This window comes from Homo sapiens, chromosome X, assembly GCF_000001405.40.
Source record: "Homo sapiens chromosome X, GRCh38.p14 Primary Assembly".
NCBI classification, from domain to species: Eukaryota; Metazoa; Chordata; class Mammalia; order Primates; family Hominidae; genus Homo; species Homo sapiens.
Window position 1 is genome coordinate 38,668,556 of NC_000023.11, and position 20,798 is coordinate 38,689,353.

A 20,798-nucleotide genomic window follows, 5' to 3' on the forward strand; every position below is an offset into this window, starting at 1 on the left:
TTAGTCTTTTCTTTCCCTGACTTATTTCACTTAATCCTCTAGATTCATTCATGTTGTCGCAAGTGACAGGATTTCATTCTTGTTTATGGCCAAATAGTATTCCATTGTGTATAGACACATTGTGTCCAGTGTGTATGGACACTTAGGTTGGCTATTGTCAATAGTGCTGCAATATACATGGGGGCGTGGCTATCTCCTCAACATATTGATTTCATTTTCTTTGGGTATATACCCCGCAGTAGGATTGCTGGATCATATGGTAGTTCTACTTTTAATTTTTTGAGGAACCTCTACTCTGTTATCCATAGTGGTTGTACTAATTTACATTCCAATCAGCAGTGTATAAGAGTTCTCCCTTTTCCACATCCTCATCAGCATTTATTTTTTTTTTTGTCTAGAGACAGGGGAGGAGGGAGAAGCAGAGGTTGGCCAATGGGTACAAAGTCACAGCTAGATAGGAGGAATTATCTGGTGTTTTATTGCATAGTAGGGTAACTATAGTTAATGTATTACATATTTAGCAATAGCTAGAAGAGAGGATTTAGAATGTTCCCACCACAAAGAAATATTTTAGGTAATGGATATGCTAACTACTCTGATTTGATCATTACACAGAGTATGCATGTATCAAAACATCATACTGTACCCCATAAATATGTACAATTATTATATGTTAGTTAAAAACAATAAAATTTTTAAAATATGATTTGGTCCTTTTATGTGATAGAGGCTATACTGGGTGCGTATGATATTTTATTTTTCTCCTCACTACCACCATGCAGTGTAGGTTATATTTTCATATAATGTGATAGGAACTTGGGGGTTTAGATAACCCACCCAAATTCACACAGCTAATGTATGGAAGGCTGGGATTTGAACCCTTGTATGTTTCCTTCCAAAGCTAGGACTATTTCAACTCCAATGTTTACATTTGGGAAAAAAGCTCTAACCCCTACTGACCTGTATTTAGTACAAGCTCGTCCCAATAGGCTTTTGGCAAATGCTTTCTGTAGGTAAAACGGCCACTCTCTGAAAGCTCCTAGAGGCAGGAAACTTGCCAGACACAGAAAACTGCTGATTCGGCTGATGAGAGCGGAAGTCACTTGATTAACTGTCAGTCTAGAATTTTGCAGTCCTTATATAACCTCATTAATTGCAAAACAACTGAAAATAACTATGTCTACTTTATGGAAGCCCAGAGAGGCTGCCTCCTTTCTAAGAGGTAGTTCATAACAAGATAGGATTCAAACCTAGGAGGACTTCTGACTACAGAGATAAATGCCCTTTCTTCCACCTGCCTGCTAACAGTTATTTTCCCACCCAACTTTCTGGAAGAGTCTAGGCTTATCCCATCAGCAAAATGGGAGAGTCTCACATCAAACTCTGCTTTGAATTGCATTTTGTATGAAGTTGGGAAAGAAGTCATGTACATGGGGCATTCTCATAACTACATGTTTAGTATTTGAGTGGCTGTGCTTTCTAGAGAATTTTGTTAATATTTAGAAAGAAATTAATATTTTAAGCCAACATTTCCTTTTTCGATATATGTGCCACTAGATGAGAAAAAAAAATTATGACTCAGCATACATATGTATACTTTATGAGACATGTGTATACTTTACAGGTAAGTAATGTGGCCACATGCAATCTATCCAAATTCCACAGCATTGTTTAGGGCCATTGCAAATGTTCAAAACCATTATATTTCATTTTGAAATAAGAAGCAGATTGTAAGACATGTGCCTTGTAGGTAAGGAATCAATTCTTGTTTTTATCTGCCTTTCAAAGTTATCCTTAATGTTTCGTAAATACCATGTACTACCCTTGAATTTAGGCGTGCTTGCATGTGCATGCACATGCAAAAAACTTGAGAAGTATCAGCAGCATGAGATGAAAAGCACTAAAGGCGTTAGATGCTTGCAAATGTCATTAGTAGTATAGTGCATTTACTTTTTGAAAGGCTTTAAACTCCACGCAGCATCCCGAACAAGAAAGGCAGGCAACTCCACAGGAAAGCTGCAGTGGCTACTGTGTCCAGTGATGACCACCAATCTGAAGAGGAACATCATCTTGCACACGTTTGGCTTCTTGGGCCCAGATGGGAGGGATACAATTCCAAATGAAGCAGTTTTGTAACTGTTTCATCTGAGATGTGGTTGAGACTACTGGAGGCGTTTGCCTAGGCAGCAGGTTCTCATCCTGGCCGTGTTCACAAACATGATGGGCTAGCGTTAGAGAAAAGACATTGGGCTGGTTCTTATTTCTTCTGAAAGCAGCACCAATGCCAGTGAGTGGAAGTTAGAAGTAGGCAGACTTGTGGCCAAAGGGAAAGGAAGTCTTTCCAACAATTGGAACAGTTTCAAAATGGAATGGGCCGCAGGGAATTGGCTTGCAGACCGTCGTGAGGAAGTTGGTAAAAAAGGACCCCCAGACAGGGCAGAATGTGTCCTGTGACCTTCAGAGCAGTTTGGTTTTTTTCTAGCTCAAAGATTCTAGTGTAACAAATAGTGGATACCTTAGTTGTGAAAGTTCCTTCCAGATTTCTCCAGGTGAGCCAAGCTGATAGGCACAATGCCAGTCTCTCAGTGAATTCTCCCCAGCCTGTGTACTCCAAAATGCATATGCATATTAAACACACATTCCTAGATTGAGGCTTATGTGGGTAAATTTAGAGACGAATGTTTTATATTTTTTTCTAAACTTTGTCTAGGGAGTGTGAGGACTTGTCTAATTCCCGCTGATTGAAAGTAACCTACCCTGAAGAAGCCCTCTTCTTAATCCTGATGTATCTGACTTTGTCTTTGTGTGCTTAATTTTCAGTATGCCATGTTTCTGTCCCTGGTGTTCCTGGCTGAGCTCGTAGCTGGCATTTCAGGGTTTGTGTTTCGTCATGAGGTGAGTATACACAAAATGCAGAACTCAGTTAAGGGGTGTTTGGGAGGAGGATTCTTGAAACCTCTTGAAATGTGTAAAGGGTGCATATAGGCTAGCTGTTTTCCTCAGTGGTGTTGTTGTTTTCCAAAGATCATGTCATATGACCTGAAATTTTCATGAAATTCTAAATGTGGGAATTCCACCAAGCTTGAAACCTTCATTGTTGATCTTCACTGTTTCTCTGTGTAGCCATTGCATAAAATGATTCTCTCCCGTTATAAAGCAGTGACCTTCAATATGGATTTCATACTCCTTAAAAATAGCTGCTTCAGGCTGGGCATGGTGGCTCATATCTGCAATACCAGAGCTTTGCAAGGCCTGGGGCAGGAGGATCTCTTGAGGCCAGAAGTTCAAGAGCAGCCTGGGCAACATAGTGAGAACCCCATCTCTAAAAAATAAAAAAAATAAATTAGCTGGGTGTGGTGGCTTGCTTCTATAGTCCCAGCTACTTAGGAGGCTGAGGAGGGAGGATCACTTGAGCTTGGGAGGTCGAGGCTGCAGTGAGCTAATATCACACTGCTGTACTCCAGCCTGGGCAAGAGAGTGAGATCCTGTCTCTATTTTTTGTTTTTAAAAATAGCTGCTTCAGTAAGGCACAAGTGTATATCTGTATAACAAGATTTCTAAGACTATAAAGGCAAGCCAAACTAATTGTCTTGCTGCCTCAAAATTTTATCATTGACTCTCCATAAATAATAGTAAAGCCAGAAGTAGATACACATGTGTTAAAAAGAAAAAGAAAAAAAATATATACAGGTGGAAAACAGAGAGTGTTACTGTGGGTCTCGAAAGGCTGGCATCATCTGTTCCCAGGCCCTGTTTTTTTTTTTAATTTTTTTAAAAAATTTTTCATTAACCCATCTTGCTGCACACTTAAAGATCCCACTATTGTGCTTGGCCAAGTTCAGTTCCCCCTGAGCTTGACTGTATGCTCTCTGCTCCCCTACTGCCTTGTTTTTCCCCTTTACCAAAGACAGTATCCCAGATGCCAAAGCTGATTCCCAGAACCCAGTTTGTATGGGTGCTGCATTTGGAATTAGAACCCCATTCATAGTCTCTAGTGAAGTGAGACCTGATGAAGTTTCAGCCTCAACAGCCCTAATAAGTGCCCCTCGTGCATGTATGAACACCAGGAGCAGCCTGGCTTGTTCCTACCTGAGCCTCTTGTTTGTTGCTGGGAGTGCGCTCTGTGGAGAGGTTTTTCTCTTAATGGTGCTTGCTGCCTAGGGCCTGGAAATCCTCATGTACCTAATCTCTTTTGGCTGAAACCCTGAGGGCTGTTGTGGGAGGAAGGTACAATGCCACTCTGACCACCAGCGCTGGTCTTGAGTTTGGCTAGTCAAACTCACATGATGACAATAGGTCTCATTTAGTGCCATTTAACAAAAGCAGAAAGATATAACAAAGGAAGCACAGTTTGCCTGCTAGGCAGTAGTGGGCTTGTTTCTCCACCATGAGTCCTCAAAATAGTCTAGTGCCTATTCTGTGTACAGTCCCCCATCCTAAGAGACAGCTTAAGTGTAGCGAAATGAGATGACACAGCTGGGTGTGGTAGCCACCTTAGCTTAGAAGCTGCATGTAACTGGTATCTCTATCTCTTGTAACTGTCCCATGGACATAGTTTACAGCATTTTAGCAAAGAATATGCCTAGTTAGGAGAGTCACCATACTTAGCCCTAAGCTTCCCACCAAGTAGTTATTGTCATTTGCTGTCCTCCCAATCTGGAGGCATTTTACCAATTGGGGGTCAGTTTTATCAATAAACTCAGTGGCCTGGTAACACATTCGACATTCCACCTTCATCAGGTTTCCAGGGAAACAGAGCTTGAAAGTTACCCCAAAGTCAAATGTGGTAACAGAAAAGGTTTTGTTAACTTTTTTTTTTTTTTTTTTTTTGAGACAGAGCCTTGCTCTGTTGCCAAGGCTGGAGTGCTGTGGCACAATCTCTGCTTACTGCAACCTCTGCCTCCTGGGTTCAAGCGATTCTCTTGACTCAGCCACCCAAGTAGCTGGGATTACTGGCGCCTGCCACCATGCCTGACTAATTTTTTTTTTGTATTTTTAGTAGAGACTGGGTTTTGCCATCTTGGCCAGGCTGGTCTTGAACTCCTGACCTCAAGTTATCTGCCCATGTCGGCCTCCCAAAGCACTGGGATTACAGGCATGAGCCACTGCACCTAGCCAACCTTTTTAAGTTCTTGTCCTTTATTATCTTTTTTTTTTAATTTGCCTCAATAAAGACAGGTAAGTGAAAGTTGGTTTTGCCTCACTCCTATGGTAAAACAGGGATCAGTTTTTGACCAAAACATCAGTCATCCTGTCCACCCAAGTGGTTTGTCTTTTATGAGCCTCCTGTGTAAGGGCAGAGAAAGTTATAGAAAGATGGGTATTAATCAATTCAAAGAAAATAAGTAGAAAGCTCATGCCTGAGGTTTGGCAGCTCACCATCACAGGCCTTTCAGAAATGGACAGGCCCCTCCAGTAGGTCATTCAGCAGGTCAGGCTTTCTCTGGATTGAGGCTGAGGGGAACAATTTTTTAAATTCCGGAGCTTAAAAACCCCCTGGTGAATTTTCTGAGCTTTTCCATCTCAGAAAATGGGGCATTGCCTCCCTGGCCTACATTTATACAGAGACTTTCAGAAGAGGCTATGTTAGGGTAGAATTTGGTAAGAATTGGAGTCAGTTTGGGCTGTGGTGGACTGCAATCACATCCCTCCTTGTCTTCCATAGATCAAGGACACCTTCCTGAGGACTTACACGGACGCTATGCAGACTTACAATGGCAATGATGAGAGGAGCCGGGCAGTGGACCATGTGCAGCGCAGCGTAAGTTCCAGAGGAGATGAGGGTGTGAACTAACTATGAAGTCTAGGCTTAGACTTATGGACTGCCTGTAGGTTGGCCCAGTAGTTGCTATTTGTTCCCGTTCTTCAACTCTTAGTCCAGTTCCATTGCCAAGAGTTGACACCCAGTCCTTGTCCAGGCTCCAGTTATTCAGGTAATTAATGTCAAGGAGGACCACTCCCTTGAGTGTGCCTTGTATCAGTAAGGGTTGCAAGTATGGCAAGGACAGCTCATTTGCTCTTCAGATCTGAACCCTTGTGAAGGAGTTAGGCAGTGAGTGTGTGACAACCTTGCTTAGAGTTGGCTCCCGGAGGCTGGCTTTCTGGAATCGATGTCTTCAGGCTGGGTGGAGAGCTCAGGCGAGCTGCATTCACTGGCTGGGGCAGTGGAGTGGGCATAGAGTGGACCTAGAAGAAACTGAGGCTCTGTTAGGTATGTGAAGGTGGTGAGCTGCCTGATGCTTTGCGGAGGATATGGGGGAAATAGAAGAGAGATTTCCTGTCTGGGTGGCAAGTGCTGGCACTCAAGCATAACTGCCCATCAGGAATCACTAAGGGGGATTTTGCTTTGGTTTTTCTTGGTTTTGTTTACTTCAGAAGAAGTCTTTTTTCTAATTTATTTTGATAAAAGTTCCAACATATACAGAAAAGTCTCAGGAATACTACAAGGAACTGTATACTCAGATTTACCAATTAATTATATTTTTGCCCCGTTTGCTTTAATATTCTCTACATTGGGGTTGGCAAACTTCTTCTGTAAAGGATCAAATAGTAAATATTTTAGGCTTTGAGGGCCATAAACTCTGTCACAACTACTCATCTCTGCCACTGTAGCACAAAAGCAGCCACAGACAGTATGTGAACACATAGTTGTGGCTGTGTCCCAGTAAAACTTTATTTACAAAAACAGGTAGCTCCTGGGCTATAGATTACCAGCTTTGGCTCTCCCTTTCTGTATGTGCATCTTTTTTTCTTAAGAACTATTTATTTACTTATTAGTAGATATCCCAGGGGAGAGTTTTTTGAAACCATATTTGCCTCAACTCACCAATCAATAGTCCTGATTTAGTGGATGAGTACATCTATATCAATAGGTGATTGTGAGTTGGACACAGACGCACTGCTTTGCTTTGTGGAGGTAATAAGAAAGCCAATGTGATATATAATTTAGAACTTCCTTCTTGGAGATCAAACAAGCATCAATATGGGTATAATTGTTATTGGAGCTTCCATTCATCTTGACTCACCAAAGCTGCACATGTTGTCTTAGGGCTTTTGCCTGTGTTTCTCTTATAAAAGTCACAAGGCAGTGATTGAGGAGACCACATTTGATCTGCCATTTTTTTATTCTTTTCCTTTCCCTGTTAATAGCTGAGCTGCTGTGGTGTGCAGAACTACACCAACTGGAGCACCAGCCCCTACTTCCTGGAGCATGGCATCCCCCCCAGCTGCTGCATGAACGAAACTGATTGTAATCCCCAGGATCTACACAATCTGACTGTGGCCGCCACCAAAGTTAACCAGAAGGTACCCGCTTTCTCCTGGCCCAGATGGGACCAGTGGTGAATGTTTGGGGGGGCTTTTTTATTTCCATGAAATTATGACAAATAGATTTGAAATAGTAGTCAAGGGAAAGAGAATCTTACTTTGTGGTTCCTTGATTGCCTGGGAGAGGCACTTGAGGCTGCTCACTTCTAAAAGAGAAAGCTGTGACTCAGATCAGCCTTGTCTTTCTCTCCCACAGCAAGGATCTACCAGGCATAGTTAGGAAGGTTTAGCAAGCAGTTCCTGTTAACCCTGATGCTTATGTCAGACAGCGAGTGTTGGCTTTCTTCTTTTGGGGTGTCCGTCTTCTGCTTAATATACCATCTAAACATGAAATTGTTTGCAGCTGGGTGTCAGTTTTTGACAGCAAGAGGGGAGTAGAGTTGACAGACAGCATCTGCTTCTGCTAGGAGGGTGGCCTTTATTTTAGGGAGTTTACTGCCATAGGAAAAGAAATCAGCAACTCTGATTCAACTCACTGTCAACCTCCCGACTCCCAAAGAAATTAGAGAGGGGAAAAAAGAGGACTAAACGAAATTTAAAAGTTAGTACATAGTGAAAATGAGGGAAATGAAGTTTTAGTAGTCAGAGAAGAGGAAAATCAATTCTGCATTCCATTTTACAGAGAATACGATGAAGACATGATATAACTGCATGTGAAGATTATCTACATCTTAAATGTTTAGAGAAATACCATATATAACATATATTTTGGTAAACAAAAGGGAGGAAAAAACCTACTATTGTGTTTACTTCCTGTTATTCAGTCAAGGGGTAAATCTTTTCTTGCTAAGGTAAAATTCTGTTCATATGATGCCTTCAAAATTCTATGTGATCTGGACCAGCTACTGAATAATTCAGAGAAAAAAAGATAGTTCAGTAAGATTCAGTACTGACTGCTTCTTGTCTAAGTTAAAAGGACATCTGTTTCTATTTGAATTTTCTTATGAACCCAAACATTGAGGCTTCCTTCATCTCTTATTAGTTAATAAGGTAACTTCTGGCTTCCTCATGGACATCCCCACTGAGTACCCATACGTGTCATTATGCTTCCATTTTATGAAGTGCTAAGCATACCTGGCATGTGGTAGATACTCCAATTTATGGAAGGCAAGAAGTACTCTATGGCAGTGAGATATTTGATATAACAGAGCTTCAGAAGGTTGTTCATGAAAGCAGTACCCAAGTCTTTTTTTTCCCCCCACTCAAGCTTCCTCTTCTTTTGTGAAAATTGAGGATCCAGAAGTCAGGAGCACAGGGTCTAGTGTCAGGCTCCAGTAGAAATTCTGACTGAGCCACTTGTTGGTTATGTGATCTCGGTCAAGTTACTTAACTTTGTCAGTCTTGCTTTTCTTGTCTGTAAAATGCGGATAATAATAGTACATGTTCCTTGTGCTTGATTTGAAGATTTAATGAGATAAAGTGTCAAAAGCACAGTGCCTGGCACAGATTATGACACAGATGTGATACATGTTAACTGTAATACAAATGATGATGGTGAAATTTGTCTTCTGTATCACATGGAGTCTTTTATTAAAAATGATGCAGCAGTTTCTTATAGGGAGGATCTTTTGTTAGTATGTAAAAACAAGTTTGGAGACGTATCTTATAGTGCATCTATAATCCTTACAATTATTTCCAGAAAGAGAGATGGGGTCACATTTTTTCATTTCATTGATAAACCTACACATTGACCTCACTTTCCACCTTCCCACTATAATCCAACTTTATATTTTCCTGGCCACCTCAAATACTTAGAAGATCTGCTTAACTTCTCTCTTACTTACCTTATAGCCTCCAACCTGGCTCCCTCAGAGGAGAAAAAGTGAATGAAAACTAAAATTTGTCTAGCAAGTTTCCTTAGACATTCTTATTTAATGCCCACCTGAACTTATGAGACAAATTACTTTTCCTGACTCAATGTCAGACACCTAATCTATACAAGGTGGAAGATTGGAATGGGGTAATAGTAGATGCTCATAAATGTTACCCTTCCTCCCAGTGACTCCTTCCCCTAGGAAGCTTAACTACTGCCACATTCTAGTTATATGGAATCCTATGATTTAGAACAAGTGGATCATCCCTGTAGATCCTGTGGTGTCTTGGACCCTGTACTTACTCTGATAGCACAGAAAGATGATTCTTGGCTCTTACCAGGAAGCTTGAGAAACCTGTCTTGTACAGATAACTGGGAGAGAACAGGAGGAAAATATGAACAGTTAAATAGGATATTTATTGTTTGGATTTGGGGACAGGTTTTATTTTGATTTTACTAGCAGGATGATGAAATGTCTGCACGTTCAGTTGGCTAATAGCATTGGCTGAAATCCTACTTCATAGGGATTCTTTGACAGTTCGTAAGGGCAAGAGGAACATAGTTACTTTGCTTGGCAGTTACAGAGATACCTCTTCCCATAACCTGTCTGGAACTAGCTTTCTACTTCTAGTAGTTAAAGTCGGTCACTTGCAGATGTTTTCCATTGGTGACTATTGATTTAGACGTGCTGAGAGAGTGAGCAAATGAACTGTTCTGAGTGTTTCCTAGGATACTTAGCAGGTCTGTGTAGATTTATCTCACACCTGACAACCGACTTTCATATTAGGAAATTGAGAGAGATTGTTGTGAGTAGATAAGATCATAGTTTAGGGGAAAATTTAAGGTTGAATGTAAACATGGCCTGTGGTTGCAGTATTAAATCAGCTCTTGCAGTATGTGGATCTGTGCTGAGACATGGAAAATGAACTTCGGGGTTCATGCAGTAAATAACGGAAAAATCCAGAGATGGAAAACATTTATTTTGACATTGGTCTCTTATTGTTTAAAAACAAAAAAACTAAGTCACTTATATCTTCTCATTTTAATTAATCCTATTACTGATATGATTCATTAACTTGCTTTCTTATTTGGAGTAAAAAATAATGAGAAAACATTTCTTATAGAAGAGTGCTTCTCACCTTTTAATGGGCATATGAAGTGTCGGGAGATCTGGTTAAAATTCATTAAAAATATGTCAAAAGCAATAACCCATGGATTTGGCAGATTCTGATTCAGTAGGTCTGGGGTGGAGCCTCCAATTCTGCATTTCTAACAAGCTCCTAGGTGAAGAAATACTGCTCATTCAAGATCCATACATTGAGGAACAAGGTTTAGAGAGAACTATTTCGGCTCAGTTGTACTAATGCCAGGCAGCTATTTCCTTTTTCTGGTTTCTCCTACTGGTTGGAGTGGCCTTACCAAAAATAATGTGACCAAGTCTAAAATCTTCTAGAATGAAGTAGAAATCATACTTTAGAAAATATATTCAGCTTAAGTGTAGAATTGAAGTGCCCAGAAAAAAATCTATGCCAAACTGTTTTGCAGAATAAGAAAATAGCTCATTCTGCTTCTCTCTCAGTTGTATTATCAGGCTTGTGTTTCCAAATTTTGAGCTTACATAACACTGGTGCTGATCTGGACCTCATTCTTTAGCCCCATCATCACTGCAGGGAGAAGATATAGTAATGATGGCCAGCCTGGTAAACTGCTGTCTTAGCTGCTACCTTTTGGGAAAGTGTTAGAATATCCACATCTCTTCTCATTTTGTCTTCTTTCTAACACAAATTCTTCTCTCTTCTACTACCTTTTGAAAAATAGTGTGAGGCTGGGCACGGTGGCTCATGCCTGTAATCCCAGCACTTTGGGAAGCCGAAGTGGGTGGATCACCTGAGGTCAGGAGTTTGAGACTAACCTGGCCAACATGGTGAAACCCCATCTGTACTAAAAATACAAAAATTAGCCAGGCATGGTGGCACACACCTGTAATCCCAGCTACAGCCTGAGTGACAGAGTAAGACTCTGTCTCAAAAAAAAAAGAGAAAAGAAAAGAAAAAATGAAAAAAAAATGTGTGATATATAGTCTCACTAGTAAAAGTGAAATCAGTAAGCTTCTACTATGGGGAATCAAATTTCAAAACTCCCCATGAGTGATAATGTATTTCCTTTCCCACTCCTACCCTGGCCTTCAAATTTGCATCAGATAACTAAGGAGTATAGTTTGTCAATTGCATTGAAAACATGTGTCACACAAAGGGACCAACACACACTGGGGCCTATAGGAGGGTAGAGGGTGGGAGGAGGAAGAAGATCAGGAAAAACAACTATGGGTACTAGCCTTAATACTTGGGTGACAAAGTTATCTGTACAACAAACCCCGACGACACAAGTTTACCTATATAACAAACTTGCACATGTACCCCTGAACTTAAAAAACGAAAGAAAACATGTCTCAAAGCACTACTGGTAAGTTAATGCACCATTTTTTTTTCCTGCACACAGACTACAAATGTATATAGATACCACTTAATAGAAGACACAGCATTGCCAGAATATTTTACAAGCTATAAGAAATGTTAAATTGTTAAATTTGAACTTAAAAAGGGAAAACATGGCTGGTTTTTTTTTTTCTTCAAATGTTATTAAAACTTAGTGTGCCATTCTTGGTAAACAAGAACCAGCTTTAATCTGTTTATTAAATTAATGTCTTTATTTTTCGCAGACTTTATACATTTTAGTTGAAGCCCTTTTCCAGAAAACTGGAAAAAGACCATGTCTTCCTAGCTGAATAAGTCAGTTCAGGACTCTAGGTTGATTTGGCCAGTTTCAAATAAATATACTTACAAATTCTCTCTCTCTCTCTCTCTCTCTCTCTCTCTCTCTCTCTCTCTCTGGAAAAGATGACCCTAGAACATAGGTTTTCCCTATTTAAAAAATCCTAATGGTCTCATTAGGAAGAACCCTAAAACTCCATAAAGTTGGCAGATATTCAAACACTTCCCTCTAGCCAGATGATTTCGGTTTGTTTATTCAAGATTTCATCATTCATTGTCAAAATGCTAGTAACTATGTTTATGATCCTGAGATTTCCTGTTCAAGGATGCGGAATGTCTTTTCAAGTCTACTTCTTTGTCTCTATAGTGTTTGCTTCATAGATCTTACAGATTTCTTGCTAAACTTAATCCTACTACAGAAACATTTGTCAATGAAATTGTGTCTGGGATTGGCTTTAAATAGGATGGGATTTGGGGAGGTTCCAATGAAGCAAGATTGACCAAATGTTAATTTGTGATGTTAGGGGAAGGGTCATGTGTCTCTGTATTTTTGTGTATGTTTGAAACCTTTTCTTATTGTTTTAAGTTTGAAAAGAATGCTAATAAATCCCTAGAGTGAGTTGCAATTGTATTTGCTGAATTAAGGTTGAAGTGTATGTTGGGAGTGTTTCGAGTACACATAGCCCAGCTTGGCCTGAGTGAAAACATGTCTCCAAGACAGTGTCTTTCTCTTTCCAGGGTTGTTATGATCTGGTAACTAGTTTCATGGAGACTAACATGGGAATCATCGCTGGAGTGGCGTTTGGAATCGCATTCTCCCAGGTAGCCTACATAATTGTGCAGAACCTGGTCTAACCTTTCCTCTGCCTCCCTCCCTGGCCTCCAGATTCTCTGCCTGCCTTCCTGTGCTTTGGGAAAAGCTGATAGATGGGGTCAAAGCTCCTTGCTCATTAGTCCTCAGGTGATCTGTTTATTGATTTTTCTTTTTCAACTCAAATGAAGTTTTGTCATCAAGGGAATATCAGTTACAGTTAAACTAATGACTAGCTCCAGAAAAACAACTGGCTACTTCTGTAGGTCAAATGGAGGTTAACTGAAGAACGTGCTGGCATAATTGGATCATAAACAACTCAAAACATCAAATGGCTGATCTGGATTTGGGGGAAGCTTTTTTCCTGATTGACCTAACCCTTTTTTGCTCTCTCTTAGTTCCTATGTATTACAGATGAGATCTCTCCCTTTAAAGAAAGCCTAAATTTAGCAAACTTCAACTTGTGATCATTATTTTAATTTCTAAGTTTGGCTATTCGTAACAGGTTTGACTATTCTTATGTGGTTTCTTAAGAGGAAATCAAATTTTGTGTATTAAATTTTATATCCCTTTATCTGTACCTACCCTCAAAAAAAACAATGGGAGAAGTACTATGCCAATTAAGTAAACCACACACACTGGAGGATAGAATAAGATTAAGCTAAATCTAAAATGTAGCCCACGTCCACCAGGCAGGGCATGGTTCCACAGGCTTCTGATCTCTCAGACAAATGATACATCCTTGCTATAATGTTGCTTTGGGTAGAAGAATCAACATGTATAGTTAACAAGCAAGAGCAAACTTTGTTTATGTTTAACTCAGACTTTGTTCAGACCAACAGATCATGTTTCAAACAAAGCTCGATTAATGTTGTCTGAGTAATGTCTCCACAGCTCTCATTTTTTATTATTTTTTTATTTCTTTTTATTTAGGACCTGGTGTCTACAACAAACCACAACTCTAATTTCTACATAGGCTATCTCAGACTCTAATTACTTTTTCCCTAGCCATCTGTATCTCTGGCCCTCCTGCTTAGCAATGCAGATGCACTTTAATTTTATTCCAGTTTGTTCCTAAAACTTTCTAATTGAAATGTGGAATATACAGAAAGGTGCATAAATTATGTTTACAGCTTAATAAGTTACCACAAAATGAACATAGCTGTGTAACCCTCGCTAAGATTAAGGAATAGAACTTTAGCCTGATGGTTTGTTTTTTACTAGACAGCCTTAGAGAAGTAGAAGAGCTTTTCTTCTTAAGCAGTTACAAAACCTGTGAGACATTTTATCTCACAAGAGAACGTGGGCTCAGCCAACACAAATATGTTTCTTGTTGCAATTTCAAAACTATCTTTTACCATGCTTTGTTATTTTTTGTTTTTGTTTTGCAGCTCATGAAGTGAATTAAACCCTCAACCCTCCAACACATAGACAAACCAGAGTGGGGTCACAAACAATGCAAATTAACTCAGTCTCCAGAGACATTTGAAAAGTCATTGCTACTCTGAAATTTCTTCTAGTTGCTATAATATTTCAATAATAATACTCAGCAACATCACTCTAATGACTGAGGGACATTTTAGAGGATCCCCAAACCCTGGTGACTGATGCAAATGTGCAAGATGCACTTGACAGCCTTGAACATCCTGTTTACTTAACATATGTATGTGTAGCATCATATTGTTAACATCAAAAGGGCGTCTTGTGTTTGGCATTTGAGGAGACCTGTCCCATTGGAGGAAAAAAAAATATTGCTGAAGTCTCCCCTAATAGCTATCCTAGAACCATAAAGGGAGATTATGCTGATACTGTACATTAGGAGAAGAGAGCCTCAAAGAACCTGGAATCTCATGAATGAAACACCTTATCATCCAAGAATATTCCCATGTGGCCATGAGCATGAGTGTGTGTGTGGTATTAAGAGGATCCTATTTTCATTAATGAGATGAATCAAATCAAATGGATCCTTCTCCAAGTAATGAACCTGATTAATACCTCTCTTCCACTCTTCTCTCACACATCCCAATGAAGAAATGTATGATTAGACAAATAATTATCTGGCCTGATTAATCTCTCTGTGCTACCTTAAAGAAATCTGTGATTTGTGAATTGTTGAATATGCACTGTGACCCTCTAGGCCAGTAAGAGAGCGGCTTTGGCCTTAAGGAACCCCAACTCTGAAACTCTCTGCAGTGAGTTTAAGTCTCATCAAGGTGCCACATAGTTGTTGGGGTGATAAAACACAAAGCCCAGTGGCATCATACCATGGTGCCCATACTGCTCACCCATGTGGCCAGGCAGGTCCAGCAGGGCAGAGACTTGAGACCTGCTCCCAGGTTCAGGCAGGAAGAGAAATGGCTATGGCTGGCTTCTGCCAGCCAGATGCACCAGGAACTGCAGCTATTTATGGTGCTGTCAGCCTCAGGGGTCCTGAAAGCTGAAGTTGGCTTCCAGACGTCCATAGATCCAGGGCATCCCTGGGACAATGGTGGCCACTTACCAGATGCCTGTTCACAAAGAACCAGCCCTACTGATTCTGGTCAGTGACCTGGAACCAGACCTTTGGCTACATGTGTTCAGAAATTTTAGAGCCAATGTCATAGTAAAATTTAGCAAATGTTGGCTGATATTGATGAACCAGTTGTGTTGGCCTATGCCTTAGCCTTCCTATAATAAAGAAGGCTCTACTAAGTTAGAGGCCACAGAGAGGACAAAGTAGGTAGGAAAGAACAGAGCTCGCTCTCTCTCTTCCTCCCTCCCACTTTTGCTCTCCTGCCCTCGACCTTTTTCTTGCCCTTTGCTTTGCTTGCTCTTGTGACCTCCGTGCTATCATCTTTTGGAAGAAACTGGCCATGCACATCTATTGTCTCAAAGATTAAAGGTGGTATAAAGTATTAGGAAAACTAAGCTGGGTCTAGCCTTTTAATAGACTGGGCAAGAACTTTGTCCCCTGTTAGCTAACTTAGCTAATTGAAAGCTCCTGAGTGCTGTTTTTGAACAGCAGCAGGGTTGTGTCAAGCATTAAACACTTCTCTCTACAAACGTCCATTACCTTTGCCCTCTCAAGGTAAACCTCATTTGTCTGGACTTGATGGGCAGGGTCTGCTGCCCTATAAATTTATAGCAGAAGGTTGAGTGTGTTTAGTAGGGTACCTCTTCGCTGCATCTTTGGCAACTGCTCTTTCACTCGAGGGCTTGTGGGGAGAGTGAGAGATGGAGCATGCACGCACATCACCCCTGTCCTATCCCCACCCCCAAAATGGCCTGGAAGACAAGAGCCATGGGATGTCTGGGCATGGACATGTTTATTGTTCAATTTGTGACATTGTGTATATGTACATATGCATGTGTGTCTGTGGTGGGGTGGTGGGGTGTCCTCTGGGCTTCTGTATTTAGTACTTCTGTGTCTAAATAGACCCAGGGCTTTGCTAGACTTGGAACCTGTTAGGCTGGATTAATTCCCCATATCACGTAATATTATAGTCCTGAGTAAAGACAGTAGAGCTGTTTTCCAGAAGGGGAGGGTTGAGTGACTCGCTTGAAGTTGGGCAGCTACTATAGATCCAGGATTATAATTCTGACCTCTTCACCTGGCTTGCTGTATTAACTTTTAAGGCCAGAGATCACCCTTGTTCCTGCCACTGATAGCACCTGAAGGGAATTCATTTTGTGCTTTTATAACAAAAAGACTTCAGTCTGTGAAATTCAAAAGGAAAAGGTACTCATAAGAAAACACAGACCCTATTACTACCCATCCATTTTCTAACCCTCACCCTCCTGTCTGGCCTCCTCCAGGGTCTAAATGCTGCTAAGGTGATTCATTATGTGCTGGTCATTCTTTTCTTTTGGGGGGCCCTTGAGAAGACCTGTTTACCTTTTCTATGTAGAGGGCAGGACAGAGCTGGGGCTATTCTTAGATAGGACAAGAGGGTACAACCTTAAGCTCTGAGAATTACCTGTGTAGCTTGGGGTGTATTCTTTAACCTCTCATAACCCTCAGTTTTCTTATCTGGAAAACTGAGATTGTAATATTGTACAGGTTGTGGTAAATATTCAGTACAGGCTAGGTACAGTGGCTCATGCCTGTAATCCCAGCACTTTGGGAGGCTGAGGCAGGCACATCACTTGAGCCCAGGAGTTCAAGACCAGCCCGGTCAACATGGCAAAACCCCATCTCTACTAAAAATACAAAAATTAGCTGAATGTGGTGGCGCACAAATGTAATCCCAGCTACTCAGGAGGCTGAGGCAGGAGAATCACTTCAACCTGGAAGGTGGAGGTTGTAGTGAGCCGAGATTGCACCACTGCACTCCAGCCTGGATATTCAATATAGTCATCACTCCGTATCTGCAGGTTCTGTATCCATGGATTCAACCAACTATGGATTGAAAATAACAGTACAACAAAAAATAATGCAAATAAAAGCAATATAGTATAGCAACTATTTACACAGCATTTACATTGTATTAGGTATTATGAGTAATCTTGAGATGACTTAAAATATAAAGGAGGATGTGCATGGGTTATATGCAAATATTACACCATTTTGTATCAAGGACTTGAGCATCCTAGGATTTTGCTATCCTTGGGAAGTCCTGGAACCAATCTCCAACAGATACTAAGGGATGACTGTAATCTGTTCTACCTGAATGTGTTATATACCTCTGACACTTATTTGATTTTTGACATTATCAAGTGTGTTCTGGTGTTTGTTGGTTCTGGAAAATGGAAGTTCTAATAAAAAAGACAAGCTATAAGGTTCAAGGTCGTTACACTCATATTTTAGTTTCTCATTTGGCAGAATATTCTAAAGGTTACAGCCATGGTATCTTCAGCCACTTGGCAGTAAGTGCATGCGACTATGTATTTTATGGCACCAAATGATGTTGGCCAGAGCCTTGGTAGGAGATAGAACGAGTCCAATAAGATGATGATGCCTCCTTACCTGAAAGCGGTTATAGTTTGCATATTTCACAGCACAATTTTAATTTGAAAAAGGAAGATAAGAGATGAGAACTGGAACCTGCATGGATAGGTTAAGAGCCAGGAGAATGGAGTTCAGGTGTTGCCCTGACCAACAGTGGGACCTGAAGTGGCAGCAGGTGTTTCACCTATAAGATAAGGGTGACTAGGTGGACTGGATGAGCAGTTCCCTGCCCTGGAAGACTTGTTAAAACACCAGTTACTGGGCCCCACCCCCCAGCATATCTGATTCAGCAGGTCTGGGGCGAGATCTGAGAATGTGCATTTCTAAAAAGATCCCAGGCGATCGTGATGCTCTTGGTCCTGGGGTCACACTTCTAGTGAAACAGTTTATTCCCACCTCTGATCCAGTAAAACATGCCCAGTTATCTAAGGAGGAGGGACTACATTGGCCAAGAGAAAGCAGCCTGTAGACTCAAGTGCACAATTGGGCTCCTCTCTAAAGAATGCTGATCCTCCAGATTCATGAATGGAAATTTTCTTTTCTAATGAACAGAACAAGATGTGCTTAAGGGTGTCTTGAGAGTATCACAGTCATCTTTATTAGATTCACTTGTGCCACAGTTTAGATCAAGGCACAAAGACAAGTGGAGGACTAGAATCTTCTGAGGAGGTGGAGGTACTACATCACTGGTGGTCCTGAGGCCCCTAAAAAAACTGGGAGGTGGGCCCTGGGTGTAGATGAGCCCACTTAGGCCTAAGATATCTACATGGCCGAGAGACAGAATATAAAGCCCCACTTTCCCCTAGCCCCTCCTACCTTTTCATAAGCCTTGGCTTTCTTACCTCACTGGTGAATGTGCCTGATCAAGAATAGTGTCTCTATTCTTGCCTCAAGGAAAGAACTATTATTTTGTCAGCTGGGTATGGCTGAGACATCATAGTATGCTGAGAAATCTTCCAAATGCATGTGCTATAGATGTGAATTAAATTTTAGCCTTCTAGTTAATATATCACTAAATTCTGTGTTCCTTAATTTTTTTATTACTCTCATAACATGAACAAATTTTAATACTCCTTAAGTGTCAAAAGTTGTTCTTAAATGGCCAGAGTGAGCTACAGCTGCAACATGATGGCCAGTTTGAGAACTTCCAGTTGGCTCTGCAGTTAGACTCCCAACAGCTGAGATCCCATGGTTGAAATCTGGTTTTATCTTTTGCTCTAGTGCCCTTTCCCCATTTACATACAGAAACACTTGGTTGTTAAAAAATTATGTCTAGTGATACGCATATGTCAAAAATCACATACCCCATAAATATATAAAATTATTAATTAAATATTAAAAGGGTGTGGTTCGGTGACTTGAGATTCTCATTTTCGTTTTTCTCCCTGGCAACAGTTAATTGGCATGCTGCTGGCCTGCTGTCTGTCCCGGTTCATCACGGCCAATCAGTATGAGATGGTGTAAGGAGAAGGTAGGTGACAGTGGGGAGTGTTTAATTTTGAGGGGTCCCCTTTGGGACACTTACTACCCTTCAAATGTGCAGGAGTACTCCCTGGCCATTGAGCTACCTGATCTTGGTGGCACTTGTCCATGTTCAGAAATCTCATTTCTGTGGTTCTGGGAAGGAAGTATAATTGGTTCTTTTGTGGAAAATGTGGAAATGCTTTTTTCAGCTTGTTATCTTTCAAGTCCTTATTACTGGTGAATCACTCACATGTTCTCATTTCTCTCTTAGTCTTTCAAGAATGACGGAATAAGAGACCTGTTTTAAAAAGGAACTGCAGCAATCTTTGAAAGACTTCCAAAGAATGTTAGAGCACAGTACATAATACACTTGCCCTGCTCCCTCTCCCCCTTACCCCACAACGTGCAACTGACACTCCCACCCAGTCTCTGCTCCACCTTTCAGCCCACGTCACGTGTAGTGTCCATTTTGTGAAGCCCTGTTGTGCCACAGAGTGTAGCCAGGTCCCCCTGCAGCTAGTCCTAGTGAACCTCACCCCGAGGCCCTGCATGGGCCAGCCCCTCCATCTGTACTTGGTCCAACTGCAACTCATCATCGGTGACTGGTTATCACACCATCGCTGGCCCCTTTGGGCCCTGCATGTAGTGTGGGAGGCTCCTGTTAGCTCCTCACTGTGGTAAATGCCACACACCTTTAAGTAGATAAGCAGACGATAGTTATCTGTTCTTTTGACTTAATCTCATTTGGTTTGATTTTCCCTCTACTAAGGCTTTCCTACCTTCTTCAGGCTGCCTAAGACATGTAACGAAACACTTCAATAATTGTCCATGAGGAGAAAAAAAGCATGTGTCATGCATGAAGGAAACTGAACTTGAGGTGGCCTCCTTGCTTGTTACATACCTGGGTATGTGTAGGCAGTTTAGTGCATCTTTGCCTCTCGGTTGAAACCTGTATAACCCTGTTACAAAGCTGTGTTGTTGCTTCTTGTGAAGGCCATGATATTTTGTTTTTCCCCAATTAATTGCTATTGTGTTATTTTACTACTTCTCTCTGTATTTTTTCTTGCATTGACATTATAGACATTGAGGACCTCATCCAAACAATTTAAAAATGAGTGTGAAGGGGGAACAAGTCAAAATATTTTTAAAAGATCTTCAAAAGTAATGCCTCTGTCTAGCATGCCAACAAGAATGCATTGATATTGTGAACATTTGTGATATATGTATTAATAAATAGAGCAATTACAAGCAGCTGTGTTCTGGTTCTGTTCTTTGGTTCTTATGAAAGTTTTAAAACACATTTCTTTTCCATCTTGCTCTTCAGGACATCGCAGGCAGGTGGACCATCTCACACACTGACACACCTCTCCATGTGTGCTCCCACCCCACTAAAATAGCATCAGCAGCAGAGAAGCTAAAGGGTTAGGTTTTTTTAATTATTGTTATGGACACTTCAGAAACTTTAACCATTTATCATGAACAGAATACATTGTTGTCTGTGGAAATAGAGCCTTCATATCATTTCAGGCCTCTGAAATCCTTGGGCCTGAAATCCGTGAAATAAATACAAAGATTTCAGCTGAGTTTTTAAAGTCTGGATTTCATTTTGTTAAAAAGGAAATGAGCCTCTATTCTTTCCTTCATCGCTTCTAATGAGCATGAATTCTCCTCTTTCCTCTTTCTTTT

At 40.8% G+C, this 20,798-nt stretch overlaps 1 protein-coding gene across 1 annotated transcript in view; it reads left to right on the forward strand.

Moving 5' to 3' along the window:
- Positions 1 to 20,363, forward strand: part of TSPAN7 (tetraspanin 7) — a 127,377-nt gene extending 107,014 nt beyond the window's left edge. The window contains exons 3-8 of the mRNA NM_004615.4: positions 2,821 to 2,895; positions 5,666 to 5,761; positions 7,150 to 7,305; positions 12,649 to 12,732; positions 19,044 to 19,119; positions 19,384 to 20,363. Of these exons, the coding sequence (NP_004606.2) occupies positions 2,821 to 2,895; positions 5,666 to 5,761; positions 7,150 to 7,305; positions 12,649 to 12,732; positions 19,044 to 19,112 (480 nt within the window). The 3' untranslated portion in view covers positions 19,113 to 19,119; positions 19,384 to 20,363. The remainder of the gene's footprint in view (positions 1 to 2,820; positions 2,896 to 5,665; positions 5,762 to 7,149; positions 7,306 to 12,648; positions 12,733 to 19,043; positions 19,120 to 19,383) is intronic.